This window comes from Homo sapiens, chromosome 20, assembly GCF_000001405.40.
Source record: "Homo sapiens chromosome 20, GRCh38.p14 Primary Assembly".
Taxonomy (NCBI): domain Eukaryota; kingdom Metazoa; phylum Chordata; class Mammalia; order Primates; family Hominidae; genus Homo; species Homo sapiens.
Window position 1 is genome coordinate 53,256,637 of NC_000020.11, and position 22,373 is coordinate 53,279,009.

The window sequence follows — 22,373 nt, forward strand, 5'->3', positions numbered from 1 at the left end:
TGCTTAGAGGCAGCTAGCATCTCCCAATGCCAAGCAGGATAGTAGCTTGCTGGAGTAGGATTTATTTTAATGAAAGACCAGAACATGAAAACTAAGTCCTAATCATTCTCTTAAGTCCTCTAGTTTAGAGCTGGGAACTAGAATAAAACGGGTTTAGAGAGATAAAGTTCACAGATTACTACTGCTTTTTTTAGGCCTTCATCATCCATAATCCTGAATTACCCAAGGCAAGCTCCAGTGTCCAGCCAAGGCTATCTTTCATTTTAATTATTAGATACTAACTTCTGTCACCATTCCATTTCACCACCCCACCTTTCCATAGCAATGCCAATGACTTATAAAGTGACAAAAAGTTGAGCAATGGAAGAAAGATTGGAGAGTGCTAGAAGTAGTTACTATATAGAGATTCCTTAATCAGCTCATGAATAGCTTAAAGTTGTCTTTATGATTGTTACTTGTAATGAATGCTTTTTTGCAGCTTACTTTTAGTAATTGCCACCTTCCACCTCTTCCCTTTGGTTATTTTCTACATTAAGTGTCCTATGAATGAGCATGTGCCCTTAACAGGTTGGTAGAAAAATATTCTTCTTTGCAGAACATTGAGATGAAAAGAAGCTTATTTTCTTCTTTCATCTTTTGGTTTTCTTGTGGATAGACCAGTATTAGAGCCCACCTTTAACAAAGATAGAGGCAATGTGTGCCCTTGAGGTTTCATTTCACATAAAGAAACAAATGGCTTTCTGTACACTTATGTTAATGTGCATGGAGTCCCATAGCTTGAAGATAATGTGCATCATGTGTCATAGAAGTTCCATGCCTTATATAGTCAACCATGCCCAGACCATTTGTGTCATTTTTAGGAAACAGGGCAGAGACCAAGGTCAAATGCTTTGGCAGATTAGTTTCACCAGCCATTTTCAAATGTTGAGGATAAGCAAGGCTGGGTCTTAACCAATCTCTTTCATTTGCCCATTTGTGTTTTCTCTACTTCTTTTTCTCTCCCTTCCAGCATGATGCCCGCATACACTAAGGGCCCTCCTATGTGTTCAGGTGGTCCTCCACCTTCGGCCATTCCCCAAGATGGGAACCCAACCTGAACTAAACCTTCTGTGCTGACCAATCCAGTTGACGTCATGTTAAGTTACGGATTTGCTCCTAGTTAATTAGCTCTTAATTCACGATCGAATATGAAAAACTAATAACATATAATCGCTCACCACACCCTATTGTCAGAGCATTGGTTTACAAATAGAAGACTTTCAGAACAAGCTAGAAAGGTAGGACACTAGGAGAGTTCCAGGTAGAGAGCGGTATTTACATGGCATGGCTTTGGGCTTGCCTCACATCAGACAGAGGGGTTTACTGGGTGTGAAGATGGCCAAGATGAAATAAAAAGTTAAAATATCTGACCTGGGACTTTCCCCTGAGTGAGGCGATCTACGCTTCTGATGGAGAGGAGTCCTCCTATAACTCTAATTGCTATCTAGACCCAAATGAAGACTATCTTTTTGGTTTGCATGTTTTTATCATGATGATTGAATGTGTTATTGGCAGATTCTTCTCATTCTTTCCAAGCATGATTTGTTCAGCTCACGGAATTGAAAGAAAAGCCAAAATGCATCCATTGAATTCACACCTGAGCTTGGGGTTCAACAGCGTCCTATTTATTTGCTGCATAACATTTTAAATCTTAAATAACTTGCCATTATGTTTTCCTGGTTCTTAAAAAAAAAGAGGGGGGGCATACAGAGAATACTTAGAGAGAAGAAAGATATTTCAAATCCAATAGTGGTGGGTTGAAACCATGGTGAAGAGGACAAATAGGTAATATTTATTTGTACTATAACAAAGACCACTTTTCCACCTGTTAGGTTTGTAATCTTTTTTAGAAAATTAATATAATTGCCAAAACACTCTGATATGTAGATAGGGAGAGGTAAGGAAAAGAAAGCTTGATCCATCGTCAGTCAGAATCTGGAGTGTATGATACCTGTTCTAGGGATTCAAAGGTGAACCAATAATTTGGAAAAACATATACAAAAGGTACTTCCAAATCCATTAAATACATAGATAAGATAGCCATTTTGGCACTTCTCTGCATTTGTACAGGATGAGTATATCTAATTTGGACCTCGAAAGCACCGTATTGGTGTTTTCATTATACAAAACCAAAGCTCCATCCTTACAAGCACCATTAGGCTGTGGTTCTGAGAGGATTGCAGAAAAACAGGTTTGAGTGTTTGGGACTCACTCAAAGCCATGGGCGTGTATGTATGTTTTGTAAACAGAAAAGATGGTGCAGGTACTGGCTGTGTTTGTGTTCATCGTAAAAATACTCCTATCTGCCTGAATGTTTCCCCCATCTGTACAAAGGTCGATTCTTGGTGCTTTGGTCACCTTAGAAAAAAATGCCTCCACCCCCGGGGTCCTCTTTTAGAACAATATTTATGCAATACCTTGCCCATTGCTTAGAATGATGCATGTAAGGTTTCTAAATGGTCATGAAATGACATCACTGTTGTCTGGAACTCTAATCTTAGTTGTAATGCATAGTAGCACAAATTGTGCAAAGTGACATGATATTTTAGAAAGTATGATCAAGATTTCTTGGAAACTATGAGAGCTTTAACCTATCAATGTTTTTTGAAAGACACAACTTTTGATCTGAATTTTCTTTCCTTTACCAGATATATCTTAAATCCTGCAAAATGCTCTGCCAAATATTAAATGCAACTTTTCGTTAAAAATTTCATTAGAAAATATTAAGTGTGCATCTCTATTTTAGGTCATAAGTAATCTAAAACAATTTCAATATGTATTTGTATATAGCTTTAAAAGCCACATGCTCTTGACTAATAGAAATTAAACAGAGAGCAAATCAATGAGTCTGAAATGCATAAAGGCTTGAAATTATAGTCATCACTGTGTAATATAGTGTACAAGCTTAACAGCACACCTAGCCTTGAAATTGTTGGCAGGAAAGTATTCTAGTCCAATGAGCTGCCACTTCTGTTGTGGGCGGCTTGATAAAAACACATATTCAGGGTGAAAAGCGCGTAAGGTTGCCAGACAAAATACAGAACGGATGTCCAGTTAAATGTGTATTTCAGATAAATGACAAATAGGTTTTGAGTATAAGCCTGGCCCAAATATTGCATGGGCCATACTTATATTTTTAAAATATTCATTGTTTATCAGAATTCAAATTTAACTGGGCATCCTGTATTTTTATTAGCTAAATCTGGCAACCCTAACAGCATAGATTATATGGCAGTTGGGAAGAACAAAATAGCCTGGACAAATTAATATCTATTAATGGCATCAACCATTCCTTCCTCCATTAAATAAATATTCCTTCCTTTCATCCTCTTTTCCCTCCTTTGTTCCTTCATTCCTTCCTCTTTCCCTTCTTTCCTTCCTTCCTTTTTTCTTCTTTCCTTCCTTCTTTTCTTCCCTCCCTGCATTCCTTTCATCCTTCAACAAATACTGGTTGTGCTTTTACTATGCACCGGACTCTATTATATTTAACAATGGAAGTATAATACTGAACCAGAAGTTCTACCAATTGTAATAGCAAAACATGCCAAGCCTTGCAGCAAGCACTTTGCAAACATTATTTTGCTTTATTCTCACAAACAGCCGTATGAAGTAGAGGTTGATTCACTCATGATAGGGAAGAGAAAATGGAGGCAGAGAGATTCTGCCTGAATTCCCCAAGGTCCTACAATCTCTGAGCCTCACTCATTCATTATGACATATCTAGAAAGCCATCGTTCCACAGCAAGCACTGTGCTAATTCCCAGGGAGTAAGCCATAACCAGGACAAGAGTCTGCCTTTGAGGCTAGTGGCAGACAAATAGATGAAAAACTCTAGGGGAAATGCTGAAAGGAGCACACAGGAGGTGGCTCTGCCTGGTTCTGGGGGAAGCCGGGATGGGGAACAGTGGTCTCAGAGGCAGTGTTTGGAAAAGAATGCTGGATTTAACCCCCAACTCACTTGCTTTCATGAAGACATGCCCCACTTCTACATCTTTATGATGTGGACATAATATCCTTCTCATAGGAAGGTTGTAAGAATTAAATGTATGTAATTATTTTCCTTAAAGCCCATAGTAGGTTTACAAGAAAGCACATAGTAGGTCTATAAGAAAAGCAAGTTCTAGGTAGAGCCACTACATGCTCTTACCATGCTCTGTAGCCTCACCTGCAGCGTAGAGAACTTGCAGCAACTTCTCAACTCTAACTAATTAATAATCCTGCAAAATCTCAACCTGCTGTTTGATTCAGATAACAATGACAGTGAAACTACCGTTGACTGGCCTCTTTTTATAACTCAGGCATAATTATTCATATTATCCTCATTTTGCAGAGAGGTAAACCAAAGCTCAAAGAGTTTCATGATTTGTCCAAGAAGACAAAACTAAACCTGGAGGTAGGTTTTGAACCCAGGACTGTCCAATGCTCATCAACTTTCTCCTGCTCCTTGGTTTCCTCCTCCTTGCCTGATGGTTTCTAGGTAATACTCATGGCTGGATGTACCTCCAACAGCCCAGAGAGAAAGCTGTAAAATGTGGCCTAAGAGCTGAGAGGAGAAAGGACACTTTCCTGGGCCTTTTGGAGGCTCCAGCTATCAAACATTGCAACTCAGGGGCCCAGGACTGACCCGCAGGGTGAAGCAGAACATCCTTGTTCTCTTTCTTTTAATGCTCTTGTTCAATCAGGCAATTATACATTTGCCATATGGTGTCTAACCAAGAAATGACCCAAATTCCAGTGAAAATACATACACCTAATATTAAAAAAGAACATCCTCATTCTGACCCTCAGGAATTCATTTTAGGGAAAGGAAATGAGAACTGAGGAAACAGGGTCAAGTACAATAATCTAGCATCTCTCAAGCAGCAAGAAACAAATGCATCGTCTTCCTTAACGTTTGCATTTTTTCAAAAATATTTGGCTTAACTCCGTCTATGCATCTCAGCCTCCATTGCACCTTCCCCCCTCATTTGGACTTTTGAATGCTCAATCCTGACGTGTATAATTTGGTGCTTTAATATAGAGTAACATTATTTTTCATTTACTCCAATCTGCCATCAGTATCATCTTTTCATTTAACCAGATGCAATTCTTTTTTCTTTCGCTAAATTGAAAATCCATGAGCGACAGGGAGTGCAATGTTTTAATTAGCTCATATTTTTTATATGGATTTATGTCTTTAAAATACATTTGTGTAATTCTTCAGCTAAATTAAAAACGTCTTTGCGAAAGTGAGGAGGGGAAAATAAAGAGCTAAATTGTGTCATTAGCTTAGGTGGTTGCAGATGAGGAGCAGAATCTGGTGGAGGGACACACAATCGCCAGAGCTGCTCTCTGTGAGGATCTTGAACTTGCCCTTCCTGCAGAGAAGTCTTTCTCCATAAAGATCTCTCAAAAATGGCTTGGGGAGGATTTTTTTTTAAGGCCTCTAGTAAGTAAACAAGCAGTTACCTTCACTGAGCTAATTTGAAACCCAACCTGCCACCAAACAAACAGAGAAAAAGAAGTCATAATGATAAACAGTTTTCCTTGCATTTCTCTTTGTCTTTTTCTTTTTTTAACTATCAAGTTTAAAGCTTTCCACGATGCTTTTTTCTACTTTCTAGGAGACAAGTGACATTCTGTGGTAAATGGGAGAAAAAGCCATGCAGAACTGAAATCTCTCTAACGCATTGACACTAACTTGCCCTCTATTGTTGGAAATGAGCAGGCGTTCATGATTGTTCATCAAACGGCTCCTAATGCAGTTAAAGCATTCAGCTATAATTTCTCCTTGCATTTATAATTACTGTCATAGACTGCACACCTCGGTGAGCAGATTAAAGCTATAAACTATTTAGCCTCGGCTCTAAGACGAGGAACTTGATTTGTCTGGCAGGAGTTATTTGTTAGGGAGCTTGACACTTCACATAAAAATGACTCAACTTGATGAAGAACAATGCAGTTTTAGCAATGTGGGGATTTTAAATCAGTCATGATGCCACGCCCTGCAAGAATCGCAGGGCAGTTTGTTAAATGATATGTAGGCCAGGGAGATAAGGGAATGTGTTAAGGGTACCAAAATAGAAGAGGATTTGGTGTGCAGTTGCTTTCTTTCCCGACTCTCTCCTGGAAGATCAGGAGTTTGTTGAAAATCAGTGCATGTCATGTTCTCCTATTAAATCCAGTGTAAATGTTATGTGAGGCTCACCTGGAGGGAAAAGGGATGCCAGCAGCCACAGGCACATGTCACATTTGGGGGTTTTACAGAACTCTGTGTAGCTGTTGAGAACATTCGCCTCCAGAAGCGAAGTTCTGGAGTATATGGAAAAGCCAGGAGTATATGGAAAATAGTTGTTTGGTTTGGTTTGTTTCCTGGAACATGTTCATGTATTTCTTTGTGTATTTGTTTGTTTACTTGCAGGAGGCATAGAATATATTTAGGCACAGAAGGTGTTTCCATGGGGCTGATTCTATACCTTTTATCTGTGAAAATAAACAAAAAATAGATACTTTCCAACTCAGACATCTTCTGATTGTTGAGACACAGTGATCAAGAGCTTTTTCTCAATGAATTTTGGGCAAGTTTGACTTGCCATGGAATCATCTCCCACCTACCCACACTTCATAGCCATAAATAGACACAAATTTCCCTTAAAACTGGCATTCAGCATCAAGACTGTTGAATGTTTATTTGCCGCAAACAGTGGATACCGGTGCCCAAATATTAGGGATCATGAATACAAGTGCTCCCAGGACTGGGCGATGACCTGGAGGACCCTAGCATGCCGGCAGGGGCCGTCACGGGGAAGCTAGGAGGCCTTGCACAGCACCAGTGGTTTCCAAAGAAGTAGCAAATCCAGATCTTTGTGTGAGCCCCCCAGTGTTCTAGTCGAGAGGGTTTTTTTAATGGATGTGTTTTGGTTTAGTTCGGATTTTAGTTTGTTTTGTTGTTTTTGTTCTGAACACCCTTCAAGCCAAACAAAGTACATCAAAGACCAGATTCAACTCCTAGGCTGCTAGCTCGCAGCCCCTGGATCTGGTGGCAGGTCAGGTGGAGACACTGGACCTGTTTCTTGGTGTTCTTTGTCCCCTCTCCCCCAAGGTAACCCCACTAGGACTTTGGGCTCTAACATGAGTGCCACTTTTCCGCATCTCAGAGGATACTGGGCTGTTCTTTAGGAAACTCTACTTCCTTCTGAAGATTTCGTCAAGTTGCTGCTACTCAGAGGAGGGGGGCAGGCTGGGCTCCCCTGGAGAGGAGCCAATCATTCAGGCTTACCCAGGACTTGGCCGGGAGGGTTCCAGGGATTTGAGAATGAAACCAGAAAATTCCAGGCAAATCAGGTGAGTTGGTCACCCTGCTCTCCTGATATACTCTGGTTTCTTTTCAGATTATATAAATCTTTTGCCTTCTACTAATACATCTCTTGCCTTAGGGCACAATACTCATTGCCGGCGTAGCTTGTGAAATGGTGTGTGTTCTCTAATCCTTATGATATTTAGTCAATGCTGTTACCCAGCACATTTGACCTATGGTATTTGTCTAATCCTCACAGCAAAACTGCAAAGTAAATATTATACCCATTTTAGAGATGAGAAAGCTGAGGCTCAGAGAAGGCATTTCAGGTGCAGGTAGCAGGTAGCAGGTAGCACACAGCAGTAGCACAGCAGCAGGTAGTGGAGCTGAGACTCCAGGCCACAGCCATCAGAATCGGAGCACAGGGCTCCTTATGCAGCACTGGGCCACCAGTGCTCAACTTCAGTGTATATGGAACAGACAATGTTTCAAAGCATGGTGCCTTTAAAGTGCATAGTCTTAATGAGCTGATTTTTGAACATGTGTAACGGTGCCTTGGCTGTATTTGCTACAAAGAGTGGAATCTTCTTGCATGCCAAAAACCCCAGCCCAAAGGATGCATGTCCAGAATGAGCAAGTGTTTCTAAAGTTTTACCAACTTTAGCCCAAATATATGCCTTGCAAGCTACCCAGCACTCATGCCAGTAGGCAAAGGACTATGGCTAAAGGAGATTTTGTTCAATGAAGTTAGCCTTCAAGTTATTGTTCCGTGATATGTGTTGATTTTTTTTTATACAAAGCTTCTCCCTTTATTCACTTGGGTGCTCTACAGGGAGCACTCACTGTAGGTTAGGAGCTGGCATTCCTGTCGGGGAGATGGGCAGACAAAAAGTGTCATAATGATGGAAAACATGGCAGTGTGGAGGGCCAGAGGGCACCATGGCTTACAGGGAACTCAGGGAAGGCCTCATTGGGAGAATCTGTTTATGTTGAGACTGGCCAAGAAGCACTTAGAGAGAGGGGTTCCCAAGAAGCGGTAAGAGTACCTGCTCCTCTCCAACCACCGAAGGCGAGAGCAGGCCTGGTGGATCTGCAGATGTATCAGGGGTCAGGGGAGACACAGCTTGGGGAGCAAGGGGAGAGCATTGAAAATGAAAACTGGAGAAAGAGGCCAGGGCCAGAGCGTTCAGGGGTGGGGGAGATGGGGAGAAATAAGGCCTAGAGAGGTTCAGTGACTTAACCCAGGCCACACAGCTAACAGACTTCACATATCCAAAGAAAGTCCCAGTGAGAACATTCAAATGCATTGAGCCAGACAGGGAAGGCACACTTAGGGGCTTGGAAGATATTAAATTTCACATTTTCAATGCCACAAAGGCTGAGACAAGGGAGAGACTGGCAAGCATGAGAGGGGCTTGAGGGGTGTTGGAGGTGAGCAGGGACAGGCGGGGGTGCAGCAAGTCATGGCAGGGGAGTTAGGAAGGAGGAAAGGAGGTCTGTTGGCTGCCAGGTACAACACAGGGGAAGCTGCTGTTCCTTTCCTCCTCCAGCCCCGCAGCGTTAACCTACTCCGTGGGGGCTCAGCCCACCTCTGTGAGCTGGACTTTCTTTTTCTGTTGTATAATAGGCGCCATGGCAGTAAATGCCACCTCCCTGGCTCCCTCGGGGAAGCCCCACGCCTTGATTATTCCTGAGAATTGGTGACATTCTGTGGCTGCTCCTTGTGGGGGAGGCACAGGTCTGGCCCACCTGATGGTTTTTGTTCACTTCTTGCTGTCACTTTTGAAAGAGAGGAAGGTTTTACATACACATAAGTAATTAATTTTGTTCTTTCTTATTCTGAACGTCCCACACATCAGCAGAAAACCAGAAAGACTTCTTCAGGACAGAGAGGCACAGGAGAGCAATCTAAGAGAAATGTGTTTTCCCTTCCTCCCTCCCTCCTTTCTTCCCTCCCTTCCTTTCTTTCTTTTTACCAATATTTGTCAGACACTTCTTACAGGCACTGAGACTATAACAGGGAAAAATGCGAGCTCCCTGCCCTTGGGAAGCTTAGAGTCTGACCCTCCACTTTAGACTGAGGCTCGAGAGAAGATATTTGGCCACAGCTACACCAGTTTTACCTGCAGTGGGATAAGATCTAAGCAGTTAGACTTACTGGGTTTTATGGGAACACCAAGGAGAAACATCTAACCCAGGATGGGGGTCAAGGGTGGAGGAGGACACAGGGAGTCCGGGAGGGCTTCCTGCATGGGAGCCCTGATTCTGAGACTTGCAAGATGAGCAGAAAGAAGTCAGGAGTAAAGAGATGAAGGAGGGACACAGCATGAAAAGAGAATAACAGAAAAGGAAATCTTCTGGAAACAAGAAGTTCAATTTGAAAGTATTTGTGCGCTCTGCCCCACGCCCAGAAATTGTTTTCTCATTTTCACTAATTTGATGTAAATAACTGTACACTCAAGCTCTGACAATGCTGGGACCCTGTGTTTTCACCCCTCCACTTACAGGATCACTTTCTAGTTCAAGGCAACACAGTTTGTTCTCTCAATGCACCTATGCACTCTCACCTCAAATAAGAAACCAATTACCTTGGCTTTTCTGAAATACCAAAAATAATTCTCATTGTCCCATCATTACTACTAGTAAGAATAATATGGCTATAATAATAGTTAATTGTACCATTCATAAATCCAAAAGTGTTTGTGTGCATGTACTTTTTTCTCAAGCCCTATACAAGGCTCTAGGGATAGAGTGGAATCACAAACAATGACACTTCTTGGCCTTGTGGAGTTCTAGTCTAGCAGGGGAGGCCGATCGACGATTTTTTTTTTTTTTTTTTTTTTTGAGACAGAGCCTCACTCTGTCGCCCAGGCTGGAGTGCAGTGGCACGATCTCGGCTCACTGCAACCTTCACCTCCCAGGTTCAAGCAATTCTCCTGCCTCAGCCTCCTGAGTAGCTGAGCTTACGGGTGCCACCACCACACTCAGCTAATTTTCTGTGTTTTTAGTACAGAAGGTGTTTCACCATGTTGGCCAGGCTGATCTCAAACTCCTGACCTCAGGTGATTTGCCTGCCTCAGCCTCCCAAAGTGCTGGGATTACAGGCATGAGCCACCACGCCCGGCCTCGATGATGATTATATAACCACACAGGTAAACGTTGATGGCACTGGTAAGAGTACCACCTATGAGGCTGCAAGGGCCACAAAGTCTCTAGCAGAGGCTTTGACCTGGCACTGAGATCAGGATAGGCCTCGAGGGAAGATGGGAAGGGCCTCAGAGCTAGTGAGCTGAAACAAGAAGTGTGTCCCAGGCAGAGGGCAGAGCCTGTGTCGAGGCTCCGAGGCCAGTAAGAAGAGGGACAAGTACAGGTGCCTGAAAGAAAGCCAGTGAGCTGGAAGGGAGAGGGAGAGCATGGATGGTGTGAAATGAGGCTCCAGTGATGCAGTTTCTTTTAATATTTCAGCCTCTGCTCAGATCCTTAAAGGCGCTATTCACATCTTTCAATAATCTCACAGGATGGGTGATAGTCATCCATTTTACATAAGAGGAAACTGAGGTTTAGAAATAATGAAAAGCCCCAGCCTCACAGTCCATGGCAGAGAGAGGATGGGAGTCCAGCTTAGACCCTACACATGTGTTCCTTCTACCACATGACTCTTGTAGTCATGTCATCTCCTGTCTGTACCTACAAAGGGCTGTTTAAAGATGCCCAGTGTATGTTAGATGCTTGCAATAGTCAAGGTCAGATACTCACAAACACTTAGTAAATAAAACTAAGTAAGGAATAAATGAGTGCTGACATACTCATCAACACTGATATTTATTGAATGCCTCATATGTGCTAAGCTCAGGCTAAGCACTTTTCACATAGTATCCTTCTTAATTCTTGCAACAACTTTTTGAAATAGGCATTTTTATTACTATTCCCCCTGTGCTGCTGAGAAAACTGGAGCTTTAAGAGCTCTAGTGATTGTCCAAGGTCACGCAGCTGGTGAGGGTTGAAGGTGGGACTCAAACTCCCAGCCAGAGCCTGAATCTTAACCCTCCCTGGACTGCTTCTGGTGAAGCAAAGCAAAGTCCATGGAGGCTCAGTGTGCAAGACAGTTGGCTTGGCCACTTGGGGATGGAGCCTTCGGAGGCCTTTTCAGGAGAAAGTGTGGATTTGAACTGAAGAATTGCATAAAAAAGGCAGGGGGCGGGCATTTGGAAGTCCTTTGGTCAAAAACACCTTTCCATTTTCATGTTGGAGCCTCCAATACATTATATGTTCCATGCAGAATACGAAAGAAGTCTGTGCAAGATACAGACCCAGATTGAATTACTTACTATTCATTTCGTGTCACGTCAACAAAGATGGGAACCAGTTAAGGAATGGGGGTGGATCTTTATAATTGAGAAATTCAGATGTTCTGAACTTTGGGACCTGAGATGATCTACAAATCCAGACATGGGCCGAGACATGGCAATACGAGGGAAGAACTCAAGCAGGAGGAGAAAAGACTGCCTATCCAGGCAATAGCGTGACTTAGAAACAGGATTTGAGTACCACTTCATGGCTAAGCATGTGCGGGATGGAACCGGTCTTCCTGGGCTTACATCTTTGCTTTGCCTCTTCTTTCCCTGTGATGAGTCTTGGGGTAGGCCTCAAAGGCTGAATCTTCAATATAAATACAACAGTGAATGAACAACAAATGGTTATTTTAAAGATCTATCTTGGATGGCTATTTAATTTCACTAAACCCCAGGTTGCTCACCTGTTGACTGGAACAAACAATAGTCCCTTCTTCATGCGGGCATGGTGAGGGTTTTAACCCCGCATTGTCCACAAAGACCACTTAAATTATAGTAGATGCTCAGCAAATCTGAGCTATTATTTTTATCACGACTGTCAGAGGTCAGATCAGGCTTCGGGGTCAGACACACCTGGGTTCAAATCCCAGCAGGGCCACTTACTGTTGGAGCCGGGGCAAGTCAGTTATTCTCCCTGAGGGTCAGTTTTCTCATCCCTAAAATTCCAACTAATAATACTCATCTTTCAGTGATGCCGTGAGGTCTTAAAAATAATATAGGTTCAGATTGATAAAACAGGCTGGCACAAATTGGATGGCAGCAAATGTCCTTGCAGCCCTGTGTCTCCTGCCTTAGTTTGTGTTGAGGATTAGGTCAGATAGTGTACAGGGGTGGGGGCTGTCAGCGTGGATCTGGCACACACAGCAAGTGCCTGAGGAACTGCTTTCCTCTCAATTCCCTTCCCCTCAACCCCCAGCCCTTGATCACCTAAAGAAAAAAACCCTTTCATTTACTTAAGGTTTAAATTAAGATGTGAAATGGATGGTGCCACTTTATTTGAAGGAATAAAGAGAGATTGTAAGTATAGATTTATCTAAAACAGCTCTGGGAGGGGTGGGGGGGATAAAAGATATGCCCCTGAGAAAAAATGGAATGTAGCATTAACCTGCATTTCCTTCCCTCCAACTTTCCCATTCTCTTCCTGCCACCAGCCACCTTGCAAAGCCCCACTTGTTACAACACACATTTGCTGGTGGCTAAGCCATGCTTGGGAAGAACTGCACTGGAGTTTTCAGTGAAGGTGATGATGATGGTGATGATCATGATGATATGATGATGGTGATGAGGAGGAGGAGGAGGAGGATCTGATGATGAGGATATGATGATGATTAAATGTTGTAACACACGAACTTAGAATAGTGCCTGGCACAGTATCCATTATCAGAAAATCCATGTCATTCACATTAGTGGGTGCAGCGCACCAGCATGGCACATGTATACATATGTAACTAACCTGCACAATGTGCACATGTACCCTAAAACTTAGAGTATAATAAAAAAAAAAGAAAAGAAAATCCATGTCATTGATATTGACAGAGAACTAACATTTATTGAGCACTGTTTGAATCACCACATAGGTTAATTATATTATCAGTAACAATGAAGTGAAAGGAACCTCTTCTTTTAATCCTTTTTTATATAAAATAATATATTCTCATATCATCTCTGAGAGGTAGATGGAGACCCTACCTTCATTTACTAATTTACCTTTAAGGAAACTGAGGCATTTTTCAATAAAACTGGGAGCTATGTAGGAATCTGGCCACAGTGAAATGCACCTGTAGAGGGTATGGTGGAGATGCCTTTGGATGTCTGATACTATATCCTTGTGCCCACGCCTGGCTTCTGCTTGTTTTCCCCTCTAATAGATGCACCTGCAGCTCTCTTCTGAGGACATCTCCCAGCTCCTGGAGCTACTCTGCTTGCACACACAGAGCACCCTTGGTGCCTGCAAGTGTGTGCCCCTGGCTGGCCTTGAGTTAATGACTGATGTGGAGTACCAGAGCCCAATTCTTGCCTCCCGAGAGGCCAAGCTCTGAGTCCTAAGCTGCTAGGGCCTTATGTATCCTATCTCAATTAATCTTTCTCCTAAATTCTATAAAGAAGGAACTATGATTGCACCCAGCTTACAGGTGAAGAAACCAGCCCTCAGAGATGTGAAGTGACCAGGAAGGCCACACAGCTAGTAAGTAGCAGAGCTGGAAACTAAGTATAGACAAATGGAGGATTTGCCTGAAGCCAGAATTTTGGCTGAAATGTCAGCACCATTCTGGCATCCCTTGGTGAAATTCTGTGCATAGTACACCAAAGCGTGAGATGCAGACACACCACTTATTTGAAGGAGAGAACAGATGAATGCCTCCCCCCCAAAAAAAGCTTAAATATCCCCAAAATTCAAATCTTTGACCAAGGCAACTTTCTACCACTCGGGGCCTTCAGCAAATTGACACTTCAAATGTGCATGGTTTTATTTGGTATTTTTTTATCGATGGAGAAAAAAATGATGTTTCAGGTTATGCTTTTTTCAATGCTACATTTCTCAATTTCACAGTCAAATAATTCTATTTTTGTTCACCAGAGGATTTTGTCATCTTTAATTGTTTATGACTACCCCCTCCCCCTGTACTTGCGGGAGCCTCCACTTTTCCCCCTGCTGCCTTTCGTTAGACTCTCCCGTGAGCAGTAACCATGGAGATGGGTCCCTATTGGATAGTCTCTGCTCTGGCTTAGAAGTCAAAGAGCCAATCAGGACCTCGTCATCCCAGAAATGTAAGAGGATGAAAAATGCGAGGCCTTTGTAAGTGGAGGGGAGACCTGATATGCAGTCTCCAGAGACAGGGAGTTCCTGATGCCTAGAAATCCTGGGAAGGAAACACACAGCAGCTAAGCTCAGTGGGGAAAAACATGGGTCCTGGAACTGCTGGAGTCTGGCCCCAGGGCTGAGTCTCCTCTTCCTGGCTGAGGGACCTGGGTCAGGGCACACCACTTCTTTGAACCTCAGCTGTCTCTTCTATCAAGCAGCAGCAGGAAGGCTGAGCTCACATACTGTTATAAAGATAAAATTAAATACAACCCACTAAGCACCTGCCTAGCCCTGTATCAGGCATGTAGAAGTCCTCAATTAACAAGAGCTACTCTCATAATAACTAAAAATATAGCAACCCTAGAATTGAGGCTGGGTGAACAGGTCTAACAGCCCTGCCCTCAGAATGTTTGCTGCCCATCACGGAAGGAAGACAATGAAACCACAAGGCTTAGCCTCTGCTCACTGCTAGCACAACAGAAGTACGGAGCCAGTGGGGAAAAGAGGGGTCAAAGAAGTCTAACCAAATGAGAAGAGATCTAGGCTGAGTCTGGAATGATGAAAAGGAGCTAGCCAGGAGGATAAGAGGGAAAAGTGTTGCGGAAAGAAGGAACGGCAAGAGTAAAGTCTTGTTAAGTGAGAGAGAGGGTGTGGTTCATTCCAGAAAATGCATGTGGCTCAGTATGATTGCAGAGAGCCCAGTTTTGGGGAGCAGATGGCAGAGAGAGGAGGCTGAACAGACAGGTGGCTGGTGGATGTGCATACAATGGCTTCTCCTTGGGTGCACAAACTTTGTCTTTTCATGATCATAGAGACAGATATTCAATTGAGGTTTGCTTTATGAAATATTGGAGCATTGTTTCCATGAAATTGACTTTGCAGGGCTGGGAAGTGAGTGGAGAAGTGGATTTTTTTTTTTCTTTTGTGACGGAGTCTTGTTCTGTTGCCAGGCTGGAGTGCAGTGGTGCGATTTCGGCTCACTGCAACCTCCACCTCCCTGGTTCAAGTGATTCTCCAGCCTCAGCCTCCTGAGTAGCTGGGATTACAGGCACGCACCACCACACCTGGCTAATTTTTGTATATTTAGTAGAGATAAGGTTTCACCATGTTAGTCAGGCTGGTCTTGAACTCTTAACTTCATGGTCTGCCTGCCTCGGCCTCCCAAAGTGCTAGGATTACAGGCATGAACCACCGTGCCCGGCCGAGAAGTGGACTTTTAACTGAGCCTCCAGTTGACATTGGATACAAGGTCGACCTCCACCTCGAAGCTCTGGGAGGGCAGGGGCTGCATCTGACTGGCTTCCTGTTGTATTCCTTGGAACCCAGACTCTACAAATATTGGATAAAAGAAAGGAAGGAAGGAGAAGAGAGAGGGAGAAAGGGACATGCTATCTAGGAAGTGATTATACTTCCTTTTGCCATCCTCCATGGGCGAAATGACAATAATACTTACGTCTCTCATCCGTGAGGCAGATCAAATACATAAAAGTACACAAAACATGAAGCACAGTCCCCAGCATCTAACATAAGCCCAGTGCAAATGAATCTTCAGGCTTTGCACAGCCAGAAAAGTATGAGGATGTAAGAAACATTTCCAGCCTGCCGTAGAAAGGACTAACACTCTGCCAGGATGTTTTTGCATCCGGGGTAAGAAATGTCTATGCTAACTCTTGGAGGAACTGCTGTGTGCCAGGCTCTGTTCTGAGTCCTGGGCTACACCAGAGAATAAGAGAAACAGGGGATGCAGGTTGATAATAATACTAAGGGCTAACATCTATTGAGCACATAAATACAAGTAACAATTTCTGAGAATGAGGGGCTACCAAGGAAATATGGGGTAGTGCAAGGGACTGTGACAGGGCCACCTACTTTAAATAGAGGAGATTGAAAAGACAGGAGTCAGGTGGCAACTTGGAAGCAGAACATCCCAGGCAGGAGAAACAGGAGCAGGGCTGATATGTTTGATTCAGAGAAAGGCCGGAGTGTCATGAGCTGGGCATCCAGTGGTGGGACATGAATTGTGGGATGAGCATGGGACAACTCAGGGCTTTGTAGAACATGCTAAGAACTTTGGATTTTTTGAGACCATGCTAACTGGGTGGGGAAATAAAAGAACGTTGGATTTGTTTTTCATTAGGTCCACTGGGAAGCCATTGAAGCAGCTTGAACAGGCATGTGGCATGATCTACTTTCTTTCTTTTTTTGAGACAGAGTTTCACTCTTCTTGCCCAGGCTGGAGTGCAATGGTGCGATCTTGGCTCACTGCAACCTCTGCCTCCTGGGTTCAAGTGATTCTCCTTCCTCAGCGTCCTGAGTAACTGGAATTACAGGCATGTGCCACCACGCCTAATTTTGTATTTTTAGTGGAGACAGGGTTTCACTATGTTGGCCAGACTGCTCTCGAACTCCTGACCTCAGGTGATCCACCTGCCTCGACTTTCCAAAGTGCTGGGATTATAGGAATGAGCCACCACGCCCAGCCTACTTTCATTTTTATAAGATCACTCTGGCTACTGGGTGTGGAATGGACAAGAGGGTCAGGAGTGAAAGCAGGAGGCCAGCAAGGAGGCTGTTGGGAGACCGGGAACAGATGGCCTTGGTTGGAGCCTCAGTGGAGGCGGTGAGCATGGGAAGGAATGCGTGGACCTGGGAGAATTCTGGATCACTCAGGACCATGCTTGCCTAGGGAGGAGAAGGGACTTCAAACAAAGAAGACACGTGTTCATGGGGACAGATTCTCTCAGCTTCACACTGTGGGGCCCCGGGTGGGCTCTAGAGGACCAGGATACAACTGCTCTTCCCGAATCTCCCCTGGACCACCCGGACTCCCAAGCATGCCATCACTGCCCATCTCCCAAGAGGAATCCATTCCGATAAAAGTAAACCACTAGTGGCCGGGCGCAGTGACTCACACCTGTAATCCCAGCACTTTGGGAGGCCAAGGCGGGCAGATCACAAGGTCAGGAGATCGAGACCATCCTGGTGAGACCTCATATCTACTAAAAATACAAAAATTAGCTGGGTGTGGTGGCGCGTGCCTGTAATCCCAGCTACTCAGGAAGCTGAGGCAGGAGAATTGCTTGAACCTGGGAGACGGAGATTGCAGTGAGCCGAGATCGCACCGCTGCGCTCCAGCCTGGCGACAGAGTGAGACTCCATCTCAAAATAAATAAATAAATAAGTAAACCACTATTTTCATGCTTCTCCAGGAATTACGAAGTGTAAAGACAAAAGGTCCCGCTGTGCTCGCCTTCCTATTTTTCAATCCTAATTTCATTCCTCTCTCCATTCTGTAATTCAGCTCCCCCTCCTCTGAGCCTCCACAGTAGGTGGTCCTGACTTCTGTGGGAGATTTACTGGAGAGATGACATGGAGGAACACATTGTCTTTTTCAAAATGATTTAGTGACCTTTTTGGCATCCCCGTGATTACTGAAATCTTGCGTAATTATTCAGTTTGCCAGCAGAGAGTTCTGTTGATCAGGGGAAAGCTGAGGTAGATGTCAGATGACAGTAAATTTGCAATCCATAATTGTAACCACTTGATGCTGGAGCAGACCAGGGAACAAGGACTTGGTCACAAGGCCATGGATGGTTGAACCAATACGAGCACCAAATTATCTCACGCATCACACATGCAGAAACGTTGCCTATCTTTCTTTCCTCGCTAGCGCTCTTTCTCTTTCTTTGCCTCTTTTTCTCTATCTCTATCACTGTCTTCATCCCCTTCCCTAGAGATGGGCACGTTGAATACTCTGCTCTAAGTCTTCTAGGTCCATTTCCACCCAGAGCCAGTGATGCCGTAAATACAGCCACAGGTTTTTCCCCCAAGAATTCCCATAAGCTCTTTCTGGTCTTACTGTTCTGGTCTGTTTGGCCCCTGCTGGAGCTCAAGCATTGATTTTTTTCTGCTTTGCTTGCTTTCTGACAGCACGGCTTATATTGGAAAGGTCTGTGTCAGGAATTAGAGAACATTCCTAACAATGGGGAAAAGTACCCTAATATAAATATACCATTTGTGGACTTGCACTTTGACAAGTGCAAATGAACTGGAAGACACTGGAAAAGCTCTGAAGTCATGGAAACATGTAACAGAGGCATTTACTTAATAACTCATCTCATTCCTTGAGCTCACCTTATCAAGCTTTAACCTCTGAGTCTCTAAGTTCCTAGTTCAAAAATGCAGAGTCTCCTCTGTCCTCATGTTAATTTTTAAATTATATATCATTGTAGAGAGGCCCTTATGTTGAATATTATGAGCCATTTTCATATCTGAAATGGGGAATTATAACTGAACATTAGCAATTGCCTATAAATCTCAGCAAGCAAAGTGGCATCTATAATACATGGCATTAACTGGGGAGAAATGTGGTGCACAAAAAGGGGGATTTAGAGGGGTGGAGGTGATTTTCAAGAGGAAAGGCTGCAGGTCGATGAGCACAAGCCCCCTGTGTGCTGTATAATTCCTAAAATCTTAGTGGACCTGGGTGGAAGTTTGTTGACACTTTTGGAAGCAATGGTTAAAACTGTTCAGCATGTTGCCTGGGCACGCTGGCTCATGCCTATAATTCCAACACTTTGGGAGGCCAAGGTGGATGGATCACCTGAGGTCGGGAGTTCAAGACCAGTCTGACCAACATGGAGAAACCCCATCTCTACTAAAAGTACAAAATTAGCCAGGCGCGGTGGCACATGCCTGTAATCCCAGCTACTCAGGAGACTGAGGCAGGAGAATCGCTTGAACCAGGAAGGTGGAGGTTGTGGTGAGCCGAGATCGCACCATTGCACTGCAGCCTGGGTAACAAGAGCGAAACTCCGTCTCAAAAACAAACAAACAAACAAAACTATTCAGCATGTTAAGTCTACATTGTGTATATCAAAATCTCTTATTTACAATTCACTGCAAACCACATCAAAGTTAAGTAAAATAAGAAATGTACCGTCTCATCCAAGGAGAGAGTTGGATTCATACATGGAGGAATCCTTGGTTCAAAGGATGTATGCCGTCAGAACTTTGTCTTTCTCCACCTTTCCACTCAGATGTTCCTTGTGTTGTCTCATTATTAGGCAAATGGCAAGATTACCTGGACCAGCTCCAGGGTCTAAAGCTAGGATTTAGCTCCAGGCCTGGCTCTTTCATTTTTTTTTTTTTGGAACCACTTTTTTAGGTGGAAACTTCCTTGGAAGTTGAGAAATTTGTCCTAAGGCTTACTAGGAATTGGCAAAAGGGCAATAGGATATGTCATTCCAGGACAGTGTGTCTGCCAGCCAACTGGAATGCGAACAGGGCACTCTGCCTGGGAATATGAGCAGCTGCGTAGATCTATCCACTTTTGCTGGGGATCACCAGTGAGGAACCATGGTCAGGCTGCCTGGGTTTAAATTTAGGGTCCACTACTCACTAGCAGTAAGAGCAAATATTCTAACGCTCTCAGACACAGTTTCTTCATCTATAAGATGGGGATAACTGTTCTACCTCAGGAATTGATAGAGTTAAAAGAAATAATCCAGATAATGCTTTAAGCCAGTGGTTCTCAAACTTGACTGTACATCGCAATCACCTGGAGGTTTGTTAAAACCCAAAGGACTGAGCGCCATCCCCCGAGTGTCAGATTCAATAGGTCCAGGGTGGAGCGAGACCTTGTGAATGTCTAACATGCACCCAGATGATACCAGTGGTGTTGGTCCGGGGACCACACGTTGAGAACCATTGCTTTAAGTACCTGGGCATGTTGTAAGTGCTCCAGATAGTTTGCTTTTAGCAGCTTTCCTCCTGTCTTTGAGCCTGTCTGACACTCTGTCCTTTGTGAGATCTTAGCTTACTGCACAAAATCAAGTCAAACCAACATAGGGGTCCATCAGGATGACCTATTACAGGGGCTAAACAGAGAGCAGGAGCTGAAATAGAGAAGCAAAACAAGGAGAGGCCCAAAATCTAGAAAAGGAGTGGGTAGCCAGGAAGTTTGCTTGAGTCTGCTGAGATCGCTTAAAGAGGTGGACAACCTCAGCTCAGTTGCTTGTACTGTATTAAGAGGAATTTCTCACCTGATGCACATGACCGGCTATCAAGGGAAGAGGTCTTCCTCTTGACTTAGCTTAATACCTTCCTTAATTCTGAATTAATTGGCCCTAAAAGTATTTTGGAAGCAATGGTTAAAACTGTTCAGCATATTAGCTCTATATTGTGTTTATCAAAATCTTTTATTTATAATTCACTGCAAAGCAAATCAAAATTAGTTAAGTAAAACAAGAAATGTGGCTTCTCTGTCTATGAAGTTGCCATCCTATTGTTTCTTTGCTTCTCTACTAAACTTGCTTTCACTTTGCAAAAAAAACCAAAAAACTAAAAAACAGGAAAAAAAAAAACAAGGAATATAACAGCTCATCCAAGGACAGAGTTGGACTCATGCACAGAGCAATCCTTGGTTCAGAGGATGTATGCCATCAAAACTTTGTTTTTCTCCACCTTTCAGCTCAGGTGTTCTATGTGTTATCTCATTCTCAGGCAAATGGCAAACGTGGACCAGCTCCAGGGTTATATCCTATCAGTTTAGATGCACCAGTAGATAGAGGGCCTGTTTCCCAAGGGTACCAAGAAAATATGGACATTTGGTTTAATCAGCCGGGAATAAGGAAAGCACATACCCTTAAAGCAATGCCTGCAACTTGGAGAATTGGATGCTGTCTTTGGCCTGGGTTCAAGTCTCTCCTGTGGAAGCAGTGAGCAGACTCAGCACTGCACAACTTGGGCTGAGATTGGTCCACCCAGAGGAGTTTTGATGTCATTGTTGCTTGGGGAAGAATGACCTCAAATCCAACTAACACGCTCCTCCTGCCAGGACTGATGCAGTAGCCACCTTCAGGTCTTCTCATCTCTACTTACTACCCTGTCCCAGTTTGGCCAGCACAGAACTTCCAGATTAAGTCATAATTCAAAGCTCATATCACAATGAGAAGAGCTACCATTTCACGAGTGTTTATTCTGTCTCAGGTGCTTCAGTTATAGTCCTTCTGATCCTTATATTAGCCTTTCTCATCATTTAAATCTCAGCTTAAACATCGTCTTCTTTAAGGATTCTTGCCTGAAAGCCTATCTAAATCAGTTGTTGTCTGTAAAAGCCCAGATAGATAGCTGGAGCTTGGCCTAAGCCATCTTCTCACTTTCCTGATATTTTCTAATTCTGAAATGGTAGGTAGCCTTACTCTTCTCATGATGTCTCAGCTTAGGATCTATGGACCTTCCTTTTTTCTGTCATCTCTCCTCACACTCTTCATTTATTCCATCACTCATTTTTCTTGATTGGACCTCCATGATGCTTTTCCCATGTCACTTCCACTTCCATTTCCACAGGAGCCATGTCATTTGAAGTATACCCTCCTGTTGCCAGGACTGATGCAGTAGCCACCTTCAGTTCTCATCTCTACTTACTACCCTGCCCTAGTTTTCCCAGTACAGAACTGCCAGACTAAGTCATAATTCACAGCTCATATCACAATAAGCTAACATTTCATGAGTGCTTATTCTGCCTCAGGTACTTTAATTATAGTCCTTCTGATCCTTATATTAATCTTTCTTATCATTTAAATATCAACTTAAACATCATCTTCTTTAAGGACTCTTCCATGAAAGCCTATCTAAATGAGGAGTCATCAATTTCTTTCTACAAAGGGCCAGATAGTAAATATTTTCAGCATTGTGGGCCATGCAGTCTGTGTCACAACTACAGCTGACCCTTGAACAATGAGGGAGTTAGCAGTGCTGATCCTCTGCATAATCAAAAATCCACAGATAACTTTTGACTTCACGAAAACTTAACTACTTATAGCCTATTGTTGACCAGAAGCCTTACCAACAACATAAAGTCAATTAACACATATTTTGTATGTTATATGCGTTATATACA

At 43.4% G+C, this 22,373-nt stretch overlaps 1 protein-coding gene across 10 annotated transcripts in view; it reads left to right on the forward strand.

Moving 5' to 3' along the window:
* TSHZ2 (teashirt zinc finger homeobox 2) overlaps positions 1-22,373 on the forward strand; it is a 522,973-nt gene that overhangs the window by 284,279 nt on the left and 216,321 nt on the right. The window lies entirely within an intron of this gene.